This window comes from Homo sapiens, chromosome 20 (assembly GCF_000001405.40).
Source record: "Homo sapiens chromosome 20, GRCh38.p14 Primary Assembly".
NCBI classification, from domain to species: Eukaryota; Metazoa; Chordata; class Mammalia; order Primates; family Hominidae; genus Homo; species Homo sapiens.
The window spans coordinates 9,075,132-9,095,425 of NC_000020.11; the positions used below are offsets into that span (position 1 = coordinate 9,075,132).

Below are 20,294 nucleotides of genomic sequence, written 5' to 3' on the forward strand. Positions count from 1 at the left end.
GGAGATGTTAAATTAATCATCCCAGGATGTTAAAGTTAGAATTGAGACTGAAACTCAGGTAGGCTGACATCAGAACTCCAACTTCTAACCACCGTACTGTGTATTACCTGTCATTAAGCTGGTACATGCTGCAGAAAGACTTGTTACCATAACAAGTTTTGTGATAATTATTTTAAGTGACTAGGCTGAGATATGACAAAAGCTTCTGGCAATCCTGCTGTGAATATGGAATTGGAATAAGAAATTGAGGATAAAACAATGCATTCTTATCTAATCCTAGGTACTTCTGTTTCTGCAGTTGCATGCCAGAAATCCGAGATAGGGAGAGTACTAAATGCTAATTCGTGGTAGCCTAAACAAATAGTTTTAGTTTTCTGGAAGGCCGGTTTTTACCTGGTGAAGTTCCTCATGGTTTTAATGAGGGTGTGGTGTACTCTGATTCCTCTAAGGGCCAAGTAAGTGAAAGGCCCAAGTGTGGCTGACCAGGTGTCAGAGGCCTTAGGGAGTGGTGAGGCTTGCGCCCATCCAGGGGCCCAATTGTGCCCCTTCCCATGGAGCAGCTACCACTCGGGTCTGACAGGTTTCTGCCAGGTGGGCCTAGGGCCCAGGATTACCAGTGCCTCCACATTTTCAAGAGAAGCATGAAATCCAGATTTATTTGGAGTCTTCTCATTTTAAAATGTTTGGAAATAATTAAAATGGAAAACAAACCTGTCAGCCCATGGTGTGGCCAAACAAAGCATGTTTGTGGTTTGACCCAGGAGCTCCCATGTTGAGCCTTTTGTTAGCTGTAAGTGCTTGGAAACACCGTGTACTAGAACATGTCAATAGTTTTTGTTTTGCCCTTTAATTTTTTTGGCTGTAAAATTTCTTATAAAGGTTGTTATGGTCATTTATTTCCAGTGTACATAGATTTCAGATTCTGAATTTCTGCTTGTTTATTCTCTCCCTATACCCTATTTTTCCAAGCTGTTGGCAAATACACAAAGTTGAGGGGGGAAGGGCATGTTTTTTCCTCCTGTTTCATGGTGCTCCTTTAAAATAAGAACACCTGGCCGGGCGCGATGGCTCACGCCTGTAATTTCAGCACTTTGGGAGGCCGAGGTAGGTGGGTCACTTGAAGTCAGGAGTTTGAGACTAGCCTGGCCAACATGGCAAAACCCCATCTCTACTAAAAATACAAAAATTAGCCGGGTGTGGTGGCAGGCGCCTGTAATTCCAGCTACTCGGGAGGCTAAGGCAGGAGAATTGCTCGAACCTCGGAGGCAGAGGCTGCAGTGAGCCGAGATCACATAACTGCACTTCAGCCTGGGTGACAGAGTGAGACTCTGTCTCAAAAAATAAATAAATAAATAAAAAATAACACCCAAGTGTACAGAAATAGGTGACTTCATTTATGGAGACACAGAGGTTCTCTTGCCTGCCTCACTGATTTGAACTCTAACCAGTCACAAGATGTCCCCCCTGCTATTTGGTAGTAGCTGTATTTGTCCTGAAATATAGAATACAGATCTGTTCCTGCAGACCAGTGTTTCAAGATGCAGTCCGCTTAACAGCCCTCATTTTCCTTGTTGCTTTTAAATGAGAGACCACACTGGATCAAATGAAAATGCAGTTCCTTCGGGATGTGTTTCTCTCATATCTGCCAAGATGCTATTATTGGACAAATCACCAAAGCCCTCTCTGGGATTTCTTTTAATTTTTTTTCATTGGTTTTTTAAAATGATGTAAGTAATACATTAATATGTTCCAATTGAAGTGATAATGCAGAAATATGGAAGCAAAATGCAAAGTACCCTTTTCCACCTACACCCATTCCCAGATACAGTCATTGGCAATAGTTTAGAATGCCTCTTTCCCTCCTTTTTTCTGTACATTTACATGTATAAGTATATATACATGTCATTTTCTTATTACATATACTGGATCATATTGTATACATTTTTGTCTGTGACTGACTTGCTTTTGTCCACTTAACTGTATATCATGGAGAGCTTTCCATGTCAATATGTTAGTTATCTTGTTCTTTCTAACATTGCATAAAATTTGATAGTACGGATGTACTGTACTTTATTTAACCATTCTTCTGTGGACACTATTGCAAACTGAAAGATTCAAGATCTTTGTTCGTAGGTCTTTGTGCACATGTGTGAGAATTTTTTTTGTAGCTAAATTTCTAGAAATGGAACTATTTGGTCAAAAGCCTATGCACACTTCAAATTTTGACAGAGCACTGATGAATTGCCTTTAAAAAAGGTCTCCATGAAATTTGTGGAACCTCTGATTATGCAGCTGAACATAGCCTCTAATTGCAGCATGTCCCACATTGTTACCTCGCTTTACTAATTCAGTAAGATTTCACTTGTATATGGCATACCAGGAAGTGATTTTAGAAACAGACTATGTCCTTAAAATCCCTTGAAAATACAGTTCTTAATCAAAACAAATTGATCAGTTAAGGGGCTAATGTAAAAACTCTTTTAAGAAAGACATATCTTGTAGAATCAGAGAGTTGAAAATCTATTTTCTGATCAATTTGGTGAGCTGTGAAACTCTAGACCCTTCCCAGCAGGGACATGTCCATAAGCACCCTTTAATCTGTTGTTAGAGAAGTGAGGTGGTCCACAGCCAACACAGACAGATCAGACGTTGATACTGGCCTGGGAAAATTAATTTCATTGCTGAAAAATCCTATCCAGGTGTGTTTGTAGCTTTAGGTTTTCAAATACTAGTTATTTAAGAATCTCTTTTGCTTTTTACTTAAAGAATGAGAAGATTAGGAGATAATGCTATTTAATGAGTTTTATTTAATGGATACTTGAATTTAATGTCCTTGACTCTTATTTTTTTATATTTTATTTTATTTTTGAGACAGGGTCTTGCTCCATTGCTCAGGCTAGAGTGTAGTGATGCCATTATGGCTCACTGCAGCCTCATCTTCTGGGCTCAAGCGATTTTCCTGCCTCAGACTCTCGAGTAGTTGGGACCAGAGGCGCACACTAGCACACCTGGCTATTTTTTTCTGTTTTTGTAGAGACAGGGTCTCGCTATGTTGTCCAGGCTGGTGTTGAACTCCTAGGCTCAAGCAGTCCCCCCACCTCAGCCTTCCAAAGTGTTGGGATTACAGGTGTGAGCCACTGCGTCTGGCCTGGCTATGTTTTTTTGAAATGATATGTTGATAAAGGACTATATAAATTAGAAACTATACCTTCTTTTCTTTTCTTCTCTTTTCTTTTCTTCTTCTCTTCTTTTCTTTCTTTTCTTTCTTTTTTTGAGATGGAATGTCACTCTGTTGCCCAGGCTGGAGTGCAGTGGTGCGATCTCGGCTCACTGCAACCTCTGCCTCCCTGGTTCAAGCGATTCTGGGTTACAGGTGTGTGCCACCAAGCCCGGCTAATTTTTGTATTTTTAGTAGAGATGGGGTTTCACCATGTTGGCCACACTAGTCTTGAACTCCTGACCTCAAATGATCTGCCCTCCTCAGCCTCCCAAAGTGCTGGGATTACAGGTGTGAGCCACCACGCCTGGCTGCTACACCATGTTTTCTTTTAAAGAGATATTGGGAGAAATATTGCAGGAAATCTAGGTCACTGATTGATTCCTAACTGTGTTCAGAAGGGACTACTTTGATAACTGTAATTGTTATTAATGATATGAAGTAAATTATTTGTGAATTTTACCACATTCCTTGAAAGACTGAGACTCAGTCAGGGTTAGTGAGTCTTGATTAGATAAATGACAGCAAAGTGAAATACTGTTTCTGTTTCCCAAAGATGGATTTAGTCCTTTCATCTGTTTCTCCAGATACTCATTTTTTAAGAAAAATTCTGGTTTGGTTGGCAGTGACATTCAGATTCTGATTGTATGCCTTCTGCATGTTTATTTTTACAACACACTGTGAATTGTAGAAATATGGTGGGACAGTCATATTTCCTTGGCATTGAAACCTTGCATATTCAAGAAAGTCTGTGCTAGGTTTTGCTCATGGAAATGTTATAGTGTTTCACAGTTTACAGACAATTTCCTTTGATAATGTCTGTGAAAGCACAGTGGAGGGCACCACCTGGTCACTCTTTCAACCTGTATCATTCAGGGCCCTGCTGGGGAACAGATGGCATGTGTACGCCAAGTCCTTTGAGGAGGGCTTGTTAAAGGGACCTTTTGCAAGGTGTGGGCAGGTGTAGGGAATACAATCAGGGTGAATGCTAAAGAAAGACCCAGCAGTGACGGGGAGTTAGTCCTACTCTAAGGAAGGGGCAAGAAAGGCTGACAAGAGCTGTATCCCTTTCTAGAGGGACCCCGTCTGCCTGTAATATCCCTCCAGGGAGACAGAGGGGAATATATATACCTTCCTCACTCTCTGCCTGTCCCCTAAACGCTGGCTAGTGTCTTCCATTAGCCGAACCCAGACAGAAGCCAGAGGGCAGGAGAGAGGAGGAAAAGGGTGGAAAAGGTAAGTGAATGGGTCTGGGAAGGCCAGTAGCAGACCCCCACCCATTTGCCCTCCAGAACAGAGGTTTGCATGGTTGAGTGGTCAGTCCAGGGTAGAAAGCTTATGATCTGGTTTTGTGGACAAAGAAAATAAAACTGCATCTACAGTGATTAAATTGAAATTGAAATTGAAATTGGGAATTTTCTACAATACCACATGGCTGGTATCAGTAAAATTTGTGGTGGGCCTTAGAGTAACATTAAAAAAATTTTTTTTTTAGTTCCCTTTGGAAGGGATTATGCTTTATGCTTCTTGGGAAATGCGTAGAATGGGAAATGTTATGTATTTATCTGATTAACCAAAAATGTAGGCTTATAGATAGGACAGACAGAAGGGATTCATAAAGTCTCTCAGCATGGAGTTGGATTCCTAAGATAGATATAATTCCTTTGATTTTAATATTTTATAAAAATATTTTATTTAAAATGTCAGGTACCTGGGGGAAGAGACTAGGAGGAAATTAAGGTTATTAACAGTAATTTTCCTTCAAGGAAGTCAATTTAACAGAATCATTAGCATCACTGAGTATAAATGAACAAGCTGTATTTCCCCATTTGTTCAGCATGGCAGCAAGACTCTGAAATTTCAGGCTCATTTATTCTCTCATTTTCTTGGCCCTGTTGCTTGAAAGGTGAAGTCTGCTCTTTGGTTTGTGTACTTGTCCTGAATGAACAAGCAATGGAACTTAATTAGAATCATAAAATAATACTGCTATAAGGTATATCAGAGTTCATTTCTTCTTACCTCCAAATTGTGTGCAGTAAGAAACCAAGATACTAGTCATTAGCAGCTACTACTTTGCAAGTTCTCAGAGTTGGTCACTCTGGAAAAATCATATCACCTCTCCATCATGAAGGAATTGCACTAGATTAATTCATTTTTGCTTTTACCCTTATATATTCCTGAAGTCCTTGATTCCAAGGGTTTGGTTGTCCATTACTCACTATTTTCATAGATTAGAGGCAGAGCTTCTTGAGTACCTCTTCATTACTTAGCCCTTAAAATGGTATTCTCTGGAGGTCTCTACATTGCTTTTGACTGTGTTCACTCTGTAAACTCTTTCTGTATAAGATAACTCATTCACTTCTACCATTTTTATAACCCCCAATTTACTGAAGACTCCCCTATCACTGACCTCTTGTCGGAGCTCCAGATATATCCTGTTGTCTGCTGGAGATCTTGACATTGAAGTCTATGGGGACTTTCAAATCAAAGTGTACAAAACAGGAGTCCTCAACTTCACTCCAAACTTGTGTCTCCTTCCGGTTTCTAAATCTTCATGAAACAAGCTATCCATCTGTTGAGTCTACCCCATCAATATCCTTCATTTTTGTTCACTTTTCTCCATTCCTATTGCCGCTAGCCTGAATTTATGTCTGCAGAATTTCCTGTCTTGATTGTTCCAAGAATTTTTCATTCAGTCTCTCTATACTGTCTCTTTCTTATCTGTGCCTCCATTCATGTCTTCTATTGGCTATTCAGTGAGCATCAGGTACTTTAACAGTGAGATCTTGCTCTCAGGAGTTTACAGTTTACTGGAGGAGACAAATAGACACTACTTTATAAGTTTACATCTTTGCCCGTTGACTCCATTCTCCAAACCAGCTAAAGTAATTTGCACAAAACAAATCTTATTATAGCATTACCTCTAAGATACTTCAACAGCTCCCTGTTGCTATCAGGATTAATTTGTTTTCCTAATTTGCCAAATGTAAGCCATCCCTGGCCTGACCCCTGTGATGAAGTTTTAACTCCTTTATTTGCATCACCTATACTAGGCTGTGTTGAAATCCAAGAACATAAAGCCTGCTGCACTGTGGACACTGTGGCTTTGCACTATGACTTTGCACTCAATCCCCTTCTTCAACTGGCTGACTCCTACAGGCCTTTAGAGACTTCATACAGTTGTCATCTTCCTGTAAAGCCTTCCTTGATTTCCACTCCAGTCCAGATTGGGTGCCCTACTTTAGTCCTCCTGTTGAACAGTTTGCAAATTTTAGCCACAGCATGACTCTCTTGGGAAATGGAACAATCTGGTGCATATTAGTGACTAAGTTGATGTCTCTTAAATGAATAAATAACCAAATGCCATTATTGCAAAGCCTGCAGATTGGGTAAATTAGGAAAACAATCTGATGATTAAGCAAAAAAAAAAAAAAAGCCAAAGTTTAGTAAACCGAAGCCATCTGCAGACCTATTAAAGAAAAAAGTATTTCATGATTATTTACACTGGTCATTGAAAAGTAGCAGAATAATCAATTTGGAAATATGATAAGTAATTTGAAAATTCTATATCCATTATTTCTGGTAACAGAAATCCTGATATTGTAATCAGTATACTAGATCCAGAGGAGACATTTCCCTGAAGATAAGTTATCATTTTTTTCCTGATAGGCACATACTCATATTGTTTTTCCTATTTTATGAGTTCGATTTTAATCAAGTTATTCTTATTTTTCTTAACAGTGTGTTATAACCTGGAATTAGAAAAAAAATTTCTTATTTCAAACTTGGTTGGAAATTTAGGAACAAAATAATTTATTTAATCAGATTATTTTATTAAGTGGGACTCTTAGTAATTTAAAATGCTTTGTATTCATTTTCTTGTAGCATTTTCTTTTCAAAATGACCTGCAAGTACATCAGTGCCAAACAGAGAAAGCAAGAAAGCCATTAATTAATTGAAGGGAAATATTCTGCTGAATACAATACTGTTTTTGAAAGAACATGTTTTATAGTTCCAAAACCAGAAGGGAGCATTTTATTCGTAGTGGTTTGAATCTTGTGAAAAGAGTGTCTTTGACAGTCTTCACCAGGCCCCCCTCCCCAAGCTTGGAGCATTAATAGGACTTAAGAGGTGTTTTCTTCACATTTGGCTTCTTTTTGATTTCACAGATTTCTTTTAGCTTTGTGTCGAAAAGTGCTAAGTATGTTAATTATTAGATATATCATTATTCACATTTCAGTGCAGACAACATTTAGGAGGATTATAGTTTAGTTATTACAGCTTTTCAGAAAACACTTCATGATAGCACTTGGAAATACAGATAGAGAATATTTCCTTTTATTTAGAGACTTTTTGGACCTGTGAGGCCCTCTGAGAATCTTAAGCTTGGCCCCATTCTGTCCATTTTTCATTTCCTTTGAAAGAGTTTCAAAGTAACTGGTTAAAGTTTCTCCCCATCTGCCATAAGTAGCATAGAGGGATTTCTTGTGCAGCTACCAAAGGGAAATGAGGAAATTTAAAAGTGCAGATGATTTGGGTATTAACACATATCCTGGCAGTGGCTCTGCCAGAATCAGGCTCTCCCAAACCATTTTGTTTTATGTTAATTTTTATTTTCTCAGCTACAGTATTATAAACATGGCAGACCAACAGGTTTTCCATAAAGATTGATGATCAGGAGGAATCCACTCCTTAATTAAGAGCAGCAGATGCCTTCTGAAAACCTTCTGGAAATGTTCTACTTAATATTGAACCAAAGTGCTTCCAGCTTTGTTGGAAAGGTTAAGGCAATAATTACATGGAAGGTATGTCTCATTTGTCAACAGGGTTTTTGGTCTAGAATATCTCAAGAGCAGTTCCTGTCCATTTCCTTCTAGAGGTGACAGCAGCCTTCTTATTGCAGAAGGGTTATGGTGCAGGGAACATAAGTGCTTACCAATAACTGCTTCCTATCCTCACACAGGATACGAGACACAGGGTATGAGACCCTCAGAAAGGAAGTCTCTTTCTCTACACACACACACACTCATACACACACACACACACACCGCAGGTGCTTGAGCCACACTGTGGAATGGGATACATAAGAAATGGAGCCAATTCTTTGATATTTTTGTCTTTACTGGATGGCTTTGCAATATTTTAAAAATGTTGAAACTTCCAGGATTCTTTAACACCGGGCCCCTAACCCATTATTTATTAGGCTTAGGCATTGTGCCCTGGGCCTTCAGAATACAATCCCATTTCATTCTCTCAGCAATTCTGCAGGTTAGGTATAATTACGACCATTCGATACTAAGAAAACTGAGTGATTACAGCACTTACTGAGGGTCACATGGTTCATCAGTGGTATAGACAAGTTTCAAAATAAGGTTGACCTGACCTGAATCTGAATGGCTGCATCTGTGACCATACAGGCACAGAGGAAAGGCCATATGAGGACACGGGAGAAGGTAGCAGTCGTCAAGCCAAAGAGAGAGGTCTCAGGAGAAACCATGCTTGCTGGCACTGGCACCTTGATCTTGAACTTCTAGCCTCTGGAACTGTGACAAAATAAATTTCTGTTGTTTAAGCTAGTCAGTCTATGGTATTTAGTTATGGCAGTCCTAGAAACCTAATACAGTGGAGGGTTTCTTTTACATGCAGATGAAAGCAGTCCTTGTGATACAGAAACAAAGTATTACAGACCAAAAATATCAGAATAATAATTTTGGCATTTGAACACATGTTCCTAATTTCAAAAGGTGATTTTTTTCTTGAGTTGGTTTAGTTTAGAGAGTATTTGCTTTCACTGAGCTTTCATAAGAGTTAATTTGTTTACAGGCAGAGATGAGATAAATCATGTCTTTCTTTAGCCTGTTTCTTTATCTGTTTCTTTTTTTCTACATGAATTGCACATACTTCTTTAAGGAGTCTTATAATTAAAACATGTTAAATGAGCTCAAATCTTTTTCCATAATTAGGAACTTGAATCATTGCCTAATTTGTAATTTGATAAGTAATGTGTATTTGTTGAATTTTTCTGCTATCAATGTAAGTCCTGGGGTAATTTTCTAAAACAAAATAAAAATGGTTTTGGCTCTGTTTTCTTAACATATTAACAGTAGTCTAGGAAATATTTTAATTTCTCTTTAGTTAGTTGGTGCTTTCTCTTTGTAATTTTTTTTTTTGTGTGGGGAATAAATTATCATAAGACATTCATTAAGTGCATTGTAGTGTTTTGCTTAATTTGGTGCCTGTCAGGAAAAAACCCAGCAGCACAATGGAGGTGCTATGAATGAGTTATTTTATTTATTAATTTCAATCTAAATTTATCACCAATGGAGAAATAAAATATTTGTAGAATTGAGGTTATAAAACAGCAAACATAACTGCTGAATGATTTATATTCAGTACATTCTTTAATATAAAGATTGGATATAAAGACATCTTCAATATAAAGCATGACATTGATTTGCTTTAAATAAAAAAAGAATATATTTTCACAAGGTCAGGAGATTGAGACCATCCTGGCTAACACAGTGAAACCCCGTCTCTACTGAAAATACAAAAAAATTAGCCGGGCGTGGTGGCGTGCGCCTGTTGTCCCAGCTGCTGGGGAGGCTGAGACAGGAGAATGGCGTGAACCCGGGAGGTGGAGCTTGCAGTGAGCTGAGATTGTGCCACTGCACTCCAGCCTGGGTGACAGAGCAAGACTCCATCTCAAAAAAAAAAAAAAAAGAATATATTACTTTTTCTTTTTCCAATATTATTACTTGAGTGAGCTTTTTAAACAGTATGGTGCTATTTTATTAGTTAGGTAATGCATACATTTGATTAAGTGTGATATATTTTGTTTAAAATACTATTCAGAACCTGACATAGCTACAGCATAGAATGGGGTCACATAATAAAGGTTCTTCTCCTTTACATATGTGCGTGAACTTTCAGTGAGTCACATGAAATGACCACTGGTTTGGTCATTTGAGTTTATTTGAATACATTAGTTATGAGCTATTTAGTTCTTTCAAGCAGTCATAATTCATTCTCAAATTTTAAATCAGACATGTACTGTAGCTAGCACGTAGTAGGCTTTTAAATGTGTCCTAAAACTAATATGTAAGATGAGGACATGGGCCACAAACTGTTATTTTGCTTTCCTTCCTTATTTCATGGTTTTGTATATCTTATTTTGGATTTGTATGCATTCTGCTGCTTCTAAAATTAGTATCTAAGCAATGCATTTTTTAACATTAATTATCAAGTTTTGTCTTACTTTTAAATTCTGCCTTATATAAGGCAGCATAAGTGGGCATTACTGCCTTGCTGACACCTACTTTCCTGGGGTGAAATATATTGACCTTGACTGTAACCTTGACATTTAAGATAGTTGACTAGACTCTGAAAAGAGAAAGACCAGCGTGATTGTAAATCACACCTATTTGTATAACATCCTCAATTACGTAATAAAAATAATCCAGAAAATTGCCAAGATACTTGAACATATTATACGGGGATTGGTCTTAGAAGCACAGACTTACCCATGGGAATTAGTTCATTTTCTGAAGAGTCCTTCACCAAACTGAAAGTTGAGTTTACAGTCCTGAGAATGTGATGCCTCTTTGGTTATTATAACCACAAAACAGTGGAATGGCTGTTTCTTCCTTTAAGCAAAATGATATGTTTAAACTCTTTTTTTGAGGGATGATTTAAAATGTGTTAATTATGTGGCTTCATTTGGAATATAAGAGATGATATAAATTAAATTATCACTGAAATTTTTACCCTGCCTGCCTCACTCACTTTGACCTTAGGACCTTACAAAGAGTGAGAAAAAGCCATCATGATGAGAAAAAGTGATCATCTCAAACTCGTGTATGTAGATGAAAAAGGATATATGTTTCTGTGTGAGGATCCCATGTAGAAATACCTTTATAAAGTTACTTGCAACTACAGCATCGGTATATTGGGAAGGAAATGAACATTTTTTGAAGTGTCTTGTGAAGGTCAGGAACTCCTCTAGGGACTCTCCTTTGGGAGGAAGTTTAGCAAAATGGTTGTGAGCGTGTATGATGTGCATTGTGGGGTCCTGGCTTTGCTACTGAGAAGCCGAGTGACCTTGGTCAAGTCATTGACCTCGTCCTCCTTATCATCATTTTTTATATCTATCCTGTGAGATAGGTGGCAGTATCCTCATTCTACAGAAAAAGAAACTGAGGCCCATTTAAGTAACTTGTTCAGGGCCACATAACTAGCAAGTTGTAGCGCCTCAGCTGGAGTCAGACCCTGCTCAGGATTCTACCCTCTTCTACCCCTTCCATGTGGTCTTCCCCTCCTTCCAAGGCTGTGTTTGCCTAGCTACCAAGTTGACAGTTTTGATCAAATAGGTTGGTTGCTTTCATGTTGAATGAGCTCAGATTAGGAGCACCGATCATAGGGAAAAGGTTTCGAAAAGGAAATTGGGAGAAGTGACTTATAGCTGGCCATTGCCCTAGCTGATTATGTGTTCTTGAGCAAGTCATTTCACATCACCGGTTTAAATGAAGGGCTTAGGCTTCTAGAACTATTTCTTTTATATTTACCCTTTTATCATCATGAAGTGTTTCTCTTTGTCTCTAGTAATCCTCTGTGTGGAAGTCTATTTTGTCTTATTAATATAGCCAGTTCAACATTATTTTGCTTACTGTTTGCATGATATAACTTTTTTCATCCTTCCAACTTATTTGTGTGTTTCCGTTTAAAATGTGTCTCTTTGTAGAGAGCATATAGTTGATTCTTGCTTTTAAAAAAATCTATTCCGATAATCTTTGCCATATAGATGGAATGTTTAGTCCATTTACATTTAAAGTTGTTGACATAATTATATTCTGTGGTTAACATTTTATGAAATATATTACATTTGCATTTTGATATTTCTATATCTTCTCAGTTTTCTTTCAGATTTAACTTTATGGAAAAAAGTCACAAGACTTATTTTATACTATACATAGTATACTATACATAGGTTGTATACATAGTATAATTGGTTTGTTGGATGGGCCACACTTAGTGAGACATAAACAGAAAATAGCTTTATTCTCTCCTCTCCTGTACTTTGAATGATTTTTTTTGGCAGATCCTATAGCTTTTCAGTCATTTTACAGTATTGGAACAACCTAATTTTCAAATATTAGAAAAACATAGTACAATGTAAATCAAAACTTCCATTTTCCCATCCAGTTTGTAGCTTCTCCCCTTTTTTCATTCTTAGGCTTGAGCCCAGGCTTAGTGATCAGCAGTAGGGAAGAAAAGGAATTCCTGGTTTAACTCTCCTCTCTTCCTCTCCTACACATTATCTGGCTCCTCCAGAGTTGACACGGGGGACATAAAAGGGGCCAAGGCTATTGCACGTAGCAGGTGCTGTTTGTTTTCAAGGCCAGTTCTTTCTCATACACACCCTGATGGATTTTTTGGAGAGCCCTTGCAGGTCCATTGGCATCATGCCATTATTTGCTTTGAGCACTGCAATATCAGCTCCTCATATTCCAGTGGAAGATCACTGGAGTGTCTCTGTGTCCTTGTCCAGGCAGCCCACTCAGATGGAGGCTTTTCAGGATCATTCAAACATGACAACCTTCCATAGTATTCACAAGGTCCACAGGAAAACTCTCATCTTAACACCATCAGACCCCGAGGGCACAGCCTGCTTCTACTTCTACTGGGGCTCTGTTGCCTTGCAGATGGCATCAGCCAGCCAATCTGATGCACAAGCCATGGTTTCTGCACTGAAGCAGGCATCCAGGCAGGGAATAGAATATCAGCCTCTGTCATTGCAGATAGCCTCAATTTATTATGGCTTTTCTTTTCTTTTCTTTTTTTTTTTTTTTTTTGCCTTCCTTATGAGGTGTTAGAGAGAGAAGGAAAGGGATCTGTTGAATTTTCTTTGAAGAGTTTGCTGCAGTGCAGTTCTTCTCATACACAGACTCTTGGAGGTGATCTCTGGACTGGCTTGGCCATGTGTAGCAAGTCCTGTGGACATATACAAGGAACTCATCATATCACCTTTGGCATTGAAACATTAGCAGAAAATTGAAACAATATTCCCTTTTCTCATCATTAGAAGAATTTAGAGATCACTGGCTTAATAGTAAGATGCACAGATAAGTGTTAAACCTTCAGCTACATTTATAATTCGTGAACTGCCACACTCTGTAAGCTCCTACCTTCACAGTAATGAGAAATACTAAGTACCAAATAAATGCTTAATGAATCAAGTCATGGTGATTGCAGGATATTGGTCTCTGGGAAAGGTAAAGGTGACCAATATAATAAGAGGAATGAGGTTGCTAATCTGTAAAATTCTTTACTGATTTGGTTAAACAATGGGTCACTTAAGTGGAAAAAAATAGAATTCAAAACTACTGTTAGCCTTGTCAAACTAGTTGGTCAGGTTGGCCTATATAAAACCTGAAACTGGATTGACAGGCACTTCTGCTGGAAATCTCTAAACAGTACAGATCATATAGGTATATTCATAAATGTATATATATGTAAATGTGTACTTTTTTGAGGAATATATATATACTTTTGCATATATATGCAGACATATAAATATGTATTTTATAGACTAATATAACTGTCAGAGAAATGACATAATGATGTCATATAATATATAAAATATAAAAATATACTTTAAGAGTTGGCAAATAATAAATAGCACAGATAAAGGAGAATGGTTTGGAACAAGAAACAGGTAATTTCCCCTAATTTTTGGAGCAGAAATAGATGAATATGAAATGTATATATCAGTTCATTAGTTAGCTTATTTCAAAGTACAAAATAGCCTTAAAAGATTTAATGTGATTTTGTACCAGAATTTATAGGTGACAATATGATAAGAAGTTACTTTAAAGTTATAAATTTAATTTTGACTAGTTAATTATCAATATATTTAAAAATATATTAACATGTGCTTTATCCTAATTAAAAGGAGATTATATCTCAGTAGTGTCTAAGATTTTTAAAAATAACTTTGGTACTTATAAAATATGTGATTATGTAAAAAATATTGGAAAATAACTTAAAAGCACAAAGAAGAAGGGAAGAAGGCAAAACTACCTTTAATCTAATTATAATAGGTGGTAACCAATATAGGCCAGAATGAGAAACACCAGATTGCTTTTTGTTTATTGATACATTTTTTCCATGAGTGACAAAAATTGGTCTTTTCATGGTAGAACTTCCTTTGATCTATATTTAATCAGCTCACTTAATTTTCTGTTTAAAACTAATAATTCCTTTCATGGCTAGACTTTGTATGTAGGAAGTGGTTCTAAGATTGTGTCCAATATCATCAGAAATCTGCTTAATATAACTCCTAAAGCTTTATTTGTAGACTAGATATTTGTATACTATTTGGAGCCTTTGTCAGCTGTTAGGAATTATTTTAAGATGTGGAGAAAGAAATAAAGTTAGCTGGTGAATAAGGAAGTATTTTCACACTTGATCCTGTTTTTAGTTTTAATCCTGGAATTGCTTATAGCAGTTAATGTGGACCTCAATATTTCATTTTGTAAATGAGCAGTGTCAGTATGATGGTGGGGTTAAATGCAAGGGAGATGCTTTTGTCCTACTTTTCAAGGTATACTTTAAGCAAGGTAAGCATTCGTAAAGGAGTCCTAATTTACTAGAAAGCTTGAAGTTTTGGAGCAGAGATTTTCAAAGAAGTTGTACGCAGAGTTCTTTCTGAGCTATGGCCTGATAGTGTCTTTGTGAAAGTATCTTCTTCCCATTTCTTTTGTTATGAAGCCTGTTTTTTAAAATCATTGGCCTTTGGTGAAGATTGAACACATTGAAAAATAACTGTATAGGAGAAAAACTGTGAGTGTTATAGTGTTATTTAATTGAGAATACTATTTATGTGTGTGTGTGTGTGTGTGTGTCTGTGTCTGTCATGGGAAAGTATTGAAATGATGCATTACTGAAGAAAAAAGGATTTGTTTATCTTTCCAAAGAGAATCGAGCTATTATTTGGGAAAAAACTCAACATCCTTTTAAATCATATTTTTTTCAAATGTATGTGTATGGGAAATCTTAAAATAATAGATAACTAACTAATAGAAAGGGGGAGGGAAAAAATGGAAGTGTGCTTTGTCACCCGATAACTATCCCAAAATAAGTTTGGCTTCTAACACATTTTTAGTGTGTTTTTTTTTTTTTTTCAAATGGGTATTAGATAGCTTCCGTGGTAGAAGTGAGGACTTGCAGAATACTCTGTGTTACTAAAAAATTGCTGGAAAAGTTAACCTGAAATGGCAGAGTAAAGAAGCTCATGTTTAAGCTAATATACTCCAGTAACTTTTGCATCTCTGCACGTTCATCACAGACTGTGAGCATATTGTGTATAAATAATTACCAAATGTTTCGGGGGTGGTGATTCTATTTCTTCTCCATGAGAATTTATAAAGTTGTTAAATTTGGTTTCTTTGGAGTCATCACAGTTTATTTCACTGAGATGTTTACTGGATAAATATTTTCACAGAAGTTTTCATCAACTTCAAAGAGGTAGTAGTTATTCAATGCAAAGTATTAGAAGCCTATTGCAATATACATGCAATTTGTTTTCTTTCGACAGTAGACTTGTTTCTCTTTTTGGTTCAAATGAATTCATTATTTTAAACTGCTTCAATCAATTCGATATGTTGTATTCATAGACACAGTGGGTTTTATTTGTAAGCCTCCCCAGAGACCAGGGTCCCCAGGGTCTTGGTGCCACATGTTCTGTAAATGTGACAGGAGAGCTGGGGTGTTTGTACCATACATGGGAGAGGGCTGATTTCTGAGAGAAACTAATGCTGTTGACTCATAAGTTTCTTTTTATCATTTCTAGGTCATACAAGTACATGGTAGCTTTAAAAAAAAAACATGCCATAGGTATGTAGAGCCTTTATAAGTCTCGACAACTGTAAAATGAGCTAGAGAAAGTCACTATCTGGGTCATGTGGAACCACATCTGGTTTATGATATGGGCATGTAGTAATTGTGCTTGAGATTACAGTGGAGCCTCACCTGGCTTATGTTTTTGGCCATAGACTGAAGGTTCCTTTGAATGTTCCCTCAGCTAATGTAGGTATGCAGTTTATAAATAATATTTTCATAAAGACAAAAGTGAGAAGCAGCATTGTACAGCAGAAATGTGAGAGCTGACTTTCCTAGGTTCTGACCTTCCTAGGTTTGAGTATCCAGTCTGTCTTTTGCTAGAAAAGTGACCTCAGGTGAGCTCCAAAGCTCCCTCTGAACTTGTCCTCATGGGAAAGGGGAGAGACTAGTGCCTAACTGGGGAGCGGTGAAGACTGCATGAAATACTAGATGCAAAGTGCCTAACACCTCACCTGGTTTATACAACAATAGCTACCTGTTAGTTGTAGTTCTGTTCTTTTCTTTCTACAGACATTTGACCATTAAATACACAATTATTTCAACCCATTATTATATTTCTAGAAGTGATGCTTACAGATTTTTTTTTCTTTTTGAGAACTGCATGCTTTTCATAAAGTCTCTTGGAAAAGTAATCTCTATGTAGTTTTGCTTCTTCATTCATTCAGCATTTGTCAATACTTGTTACTGGCTTGCTTCCTGAGGTCTAGGAGTTTATGTTGTATCAAGAGAGATCTACAGATAATAGAAGTTACTGTAGAATTTTAAGTTCCACAGAAGGTGCATTTCTGAGGCCCTATAAAGCAGCATTTGAATCAGGTCAGCTCTTCAGCCCTCGAGAGGTATTTTCATGTTCTTGTTTTCTGTTTTTTAGTGATGTTCCATTTCTGGTGTTTAATCTAGGCATGCCACTAAATATTTACTTTTCTTTGTGAGACAGGTTAAGACTGTCTTAACTTAGAAGATTCTTCATTTCTTTGGTCACTGGAATAGCATTGCTGTCTTTTTTGTCATCATTCCGTTTTGCATTGTTATCATTCTCTTTTGCATTGTTAATATCAGAATGTAATGGTCCTTAGGAAAGCACAGTGTGGCTCGGTAGAGTGATGTGCCTTGTTGTTTCTGATGCTTTTTTGATTCTCTCTGAAGCCTGTTGGTGAGCCTGTTGGGTGAGACATCCTTAGTGTTGACAAGTGGGAATTGTTGATGAGGTTTCCACTGCAATGGTGATGTATCTGTTACTGAGCAGTTATAGGGTGCATCGCAGTTAGTTAAAATAGGAGCAGCTTCTCAGGATACAGAAGGGGGAAAATAAGTTATTGCTGGTGTATATATTAGAATATTTTTGGCTGTGAGTGATAGAAAACAGCAGCCTAAACTAACAGAAGTTTAAGAGAAATGCACGCTTGGGAATCTAAGCATTTTGGGCAGATGTGGCATCTCAGCAGTGCCATCAGGGAACCAGGTTCCTTCTGTCTTTCTCACCACTCCTTATCATTTAGCATTTATTTGTCTTCATAGGTGTGAGATGGCTCTGCACCACTCAGGAGCTATTTCCAGGAAATGAGGGATTGGGACTTGTTTACATCATGAGAATGAACTTTCTCAGAGCTCTCTCTCTTGTATCTCATTGGTCAAAACTGTGTCATGTGGCTATCCCTAGCTGCCATAGTATCTGGGAAAGCAAATCGTTTCAGCTTAGTATATTGGCTCGTAACGCTATAAATGTTGGCTAAACAAATAGCTATAGCCACCATACCTGGGAATTTTGTTTTTGTCACATCTACTAGCTTAGTTTTAGATTTCATGATTTGGTAAGTATTAGATGCTACTTCATTCATTCACTTATTTGACACATATTTATTAAATGCATAAGGCCTTAGGATATACCATTGCAAATTTAATAAAACTAGTCCTCATATTATGGCTGCATGAATGTAAAATATCTAAGTATGGTTGCGAGCTAATGGATGTTTCTCTTAGCTCATGTAGTAAATGGCTAGAACTGTGATTTTCAAATTGAAAACAACTGAATTTTGTTTAGCTGACCTCCGTCATGTAACTCGTTCGTAATTATTAACCCTACCCTCCCTCCTCTGACCCTCAGTCCTTTTACTGATAAATTTGGAAGCCTGCCTCCTGAGGCTGAGTTGCTCTGGTTTTCCCATAATACTCCCTTTTCCAGCTTTTATATGCTTACCCATTAAGTCAGACAAATTTCCTTTTCAGAGTTTGGCATTGTTTCTTTATTGGAAAGGAAACAGATTGTTTTAGGCCAGGAAAGCTTGCAAAAGAAAATAGAAGACCATGAACTATGTTTTTTATTTTCTTGTTTTTAATCATCACATCTCACGTTAGGATTTAGTGTTAGATCTCGGTGTGTTTTCTGTTCAGAGGGAATGTGAGGTTCTTCTGGCACCTGGTTTGTCTTTGATGTGGGGTAGGCACAGCTTTACACATGGTCTTTCCCCAAACCATGACATAAATCCTGCTTTTTATTTTATGGCGAGGGTCAGGTTTCCAGTAGTGGCATCTGGCGGGGTCAGTAAATCAAATTCCTGGGCTGTGAGGATGATTTTACTTGTGGGTGACTTTCCCTGCTTGTTGTGAGAGCTCAGCTTTAGTGTCACATGGCCCCTTTTTGGCTCTTTCAAATTTTAGTCAAATTGCGTGGTATAATCCATAAAGTGCCCATCTTTTGTCTGTTTCACAGTGACAGATCACTGAGCTAGGATAAGCAGGTAGCAGATCTGATAATTTATATCTGTGGCCCCAAATCTTTGCCATGAATAAAGGATTTTTAAAAAAAGTTGTTTCCTCTTGGATGTTGGCATTAGAAAGAATTTGTTCATGAAACATCACATTGATACTAATGATATGTTATTCATTTCCCCAATTACATGAATCAAAGGTGTATTTAACTACCTACAATTTCTGACAAGAATGAGATAACCAGTGTTCCTATGTTGATGTTACTTAATTGAAAGCAGGATACCTAAAATCAAAAAAGAAACAGAAGATTTATTGCAACTAAATATATATTTGTTATTTGGCTTTGGAATATTGAAATAAATATTCAAAGCCATTTTTATAATTTTTTTAAACCATACCTATAAGCTTTTCATTTTTCCTAGTGTGATATTTGATTTTTAAAATTTTTGCCTAAAGTATTTCTTTTTTTTTGTTAGAAAGTATTTGAAAAACAGAAAGGTTGTGATAGTTATGATCTGTGCATTTCTCTCTGTATTTTCACAAATAATTCCCATCAAATGAACATTTAAAAAACTTTTTATTATGGAACATTTTGAATATACATAAAAGTACAGTGAATATCACAGTGAACCTTCATATATCCATCATTACACTGTAACAAACTCATGGCAGTTTCGTTTCATCCATTACTCCTCCCCATCAGTGACCTCAACTGGATTGTTTTGAAACAAATCCATATTTGAAGCAAAAATAGATATATTATTTCTGGTTGGTCAGTTATGAACTGAAGATCTATAAGTGGCCCCACCCCAGTTGTTACTATGTCATAGATTATGATTTGGCTTAGTGTACGTGCAGTGACCCATGTGTGCATATTGATCATCAATCCATCGTGGCTTTCTTAGCTATCTTGGCTTTCTTTTGTTAGCAGAGCTTACCTGCAACTGTAGTTTCAGAAAATAGAACAGGCAGCTCTTACCATCACTATACTATATTGGCAGTGAAGGGGACCACAGTACTGCTGGTTGACATATGAAGTGGTGAAGAGCAAGAGAGGAAAGGCCCCAGATGCTGGCTTACACTGGGGAGTCCACATGGGGCATTGGTGTTGCTCTGAAGGAGAGAGGTTCTGCAGCTATCTAAGCTTAGCCAAGAAGAGTGGAACTCATTTTGGCTATTTGCAGACATGGACATGGTTGCAGGGTTCACGATCCTTTCAGTAGGATGTTGTGAGAATTTCTTATTTAAAGTTTAAAAAGGATTTTTATTCTGAAGTGAAGCAAACACAAGCTAATGGAGGATTTCTCATTTGGGGAGAGGGACTCCTCTGGACTGTGGTCTCCTTGAATTTATGCATTGGCGGTCATTTCAAATCTTTGGAGCTCTTTTGGGTCAGAATCCTGGTCATTGTTTTTGAATCTATATATCATTATCCCCATTGGAAGTTAAATTACAGACGGAACCAAACATA

At 37.3% G+C, this 20,294-nt stretch overlaps 1 protein-coding gene across 10 annotated transcripts in view, besides 1 other annotated feature; it reads left to right on the forward strand.

Annotated features, from left to right (window-relative positions):
• PLCB4 (phospholipase C beta 4) overlaps positions 1-20,294 on the forward strand; it is a 412,131-nt gene that overhangs the window by 6,454 nt on the left and 385,383 nt on the right. The gene's annotated exons all lie outside the window — the stretch shown is intronic.
• Positions 58-558: an enhancer, noted in NCBI's record as "H3K4me1 hESC enhancer chr20:9055836-9056336 (GRCh37/hg19 assembly coordinates)". NCBI's record gives its function as "activates a minimal SCP1, AML or CMV promoter by ChIP-STARR-seq in primed H9 embryonic stem cells {active_cell/tissue: H9 hESC(primed)}" and the evidence as "EXISTENCE:reporter gene assay evidence [ECO:0000049][PMID:30033119]".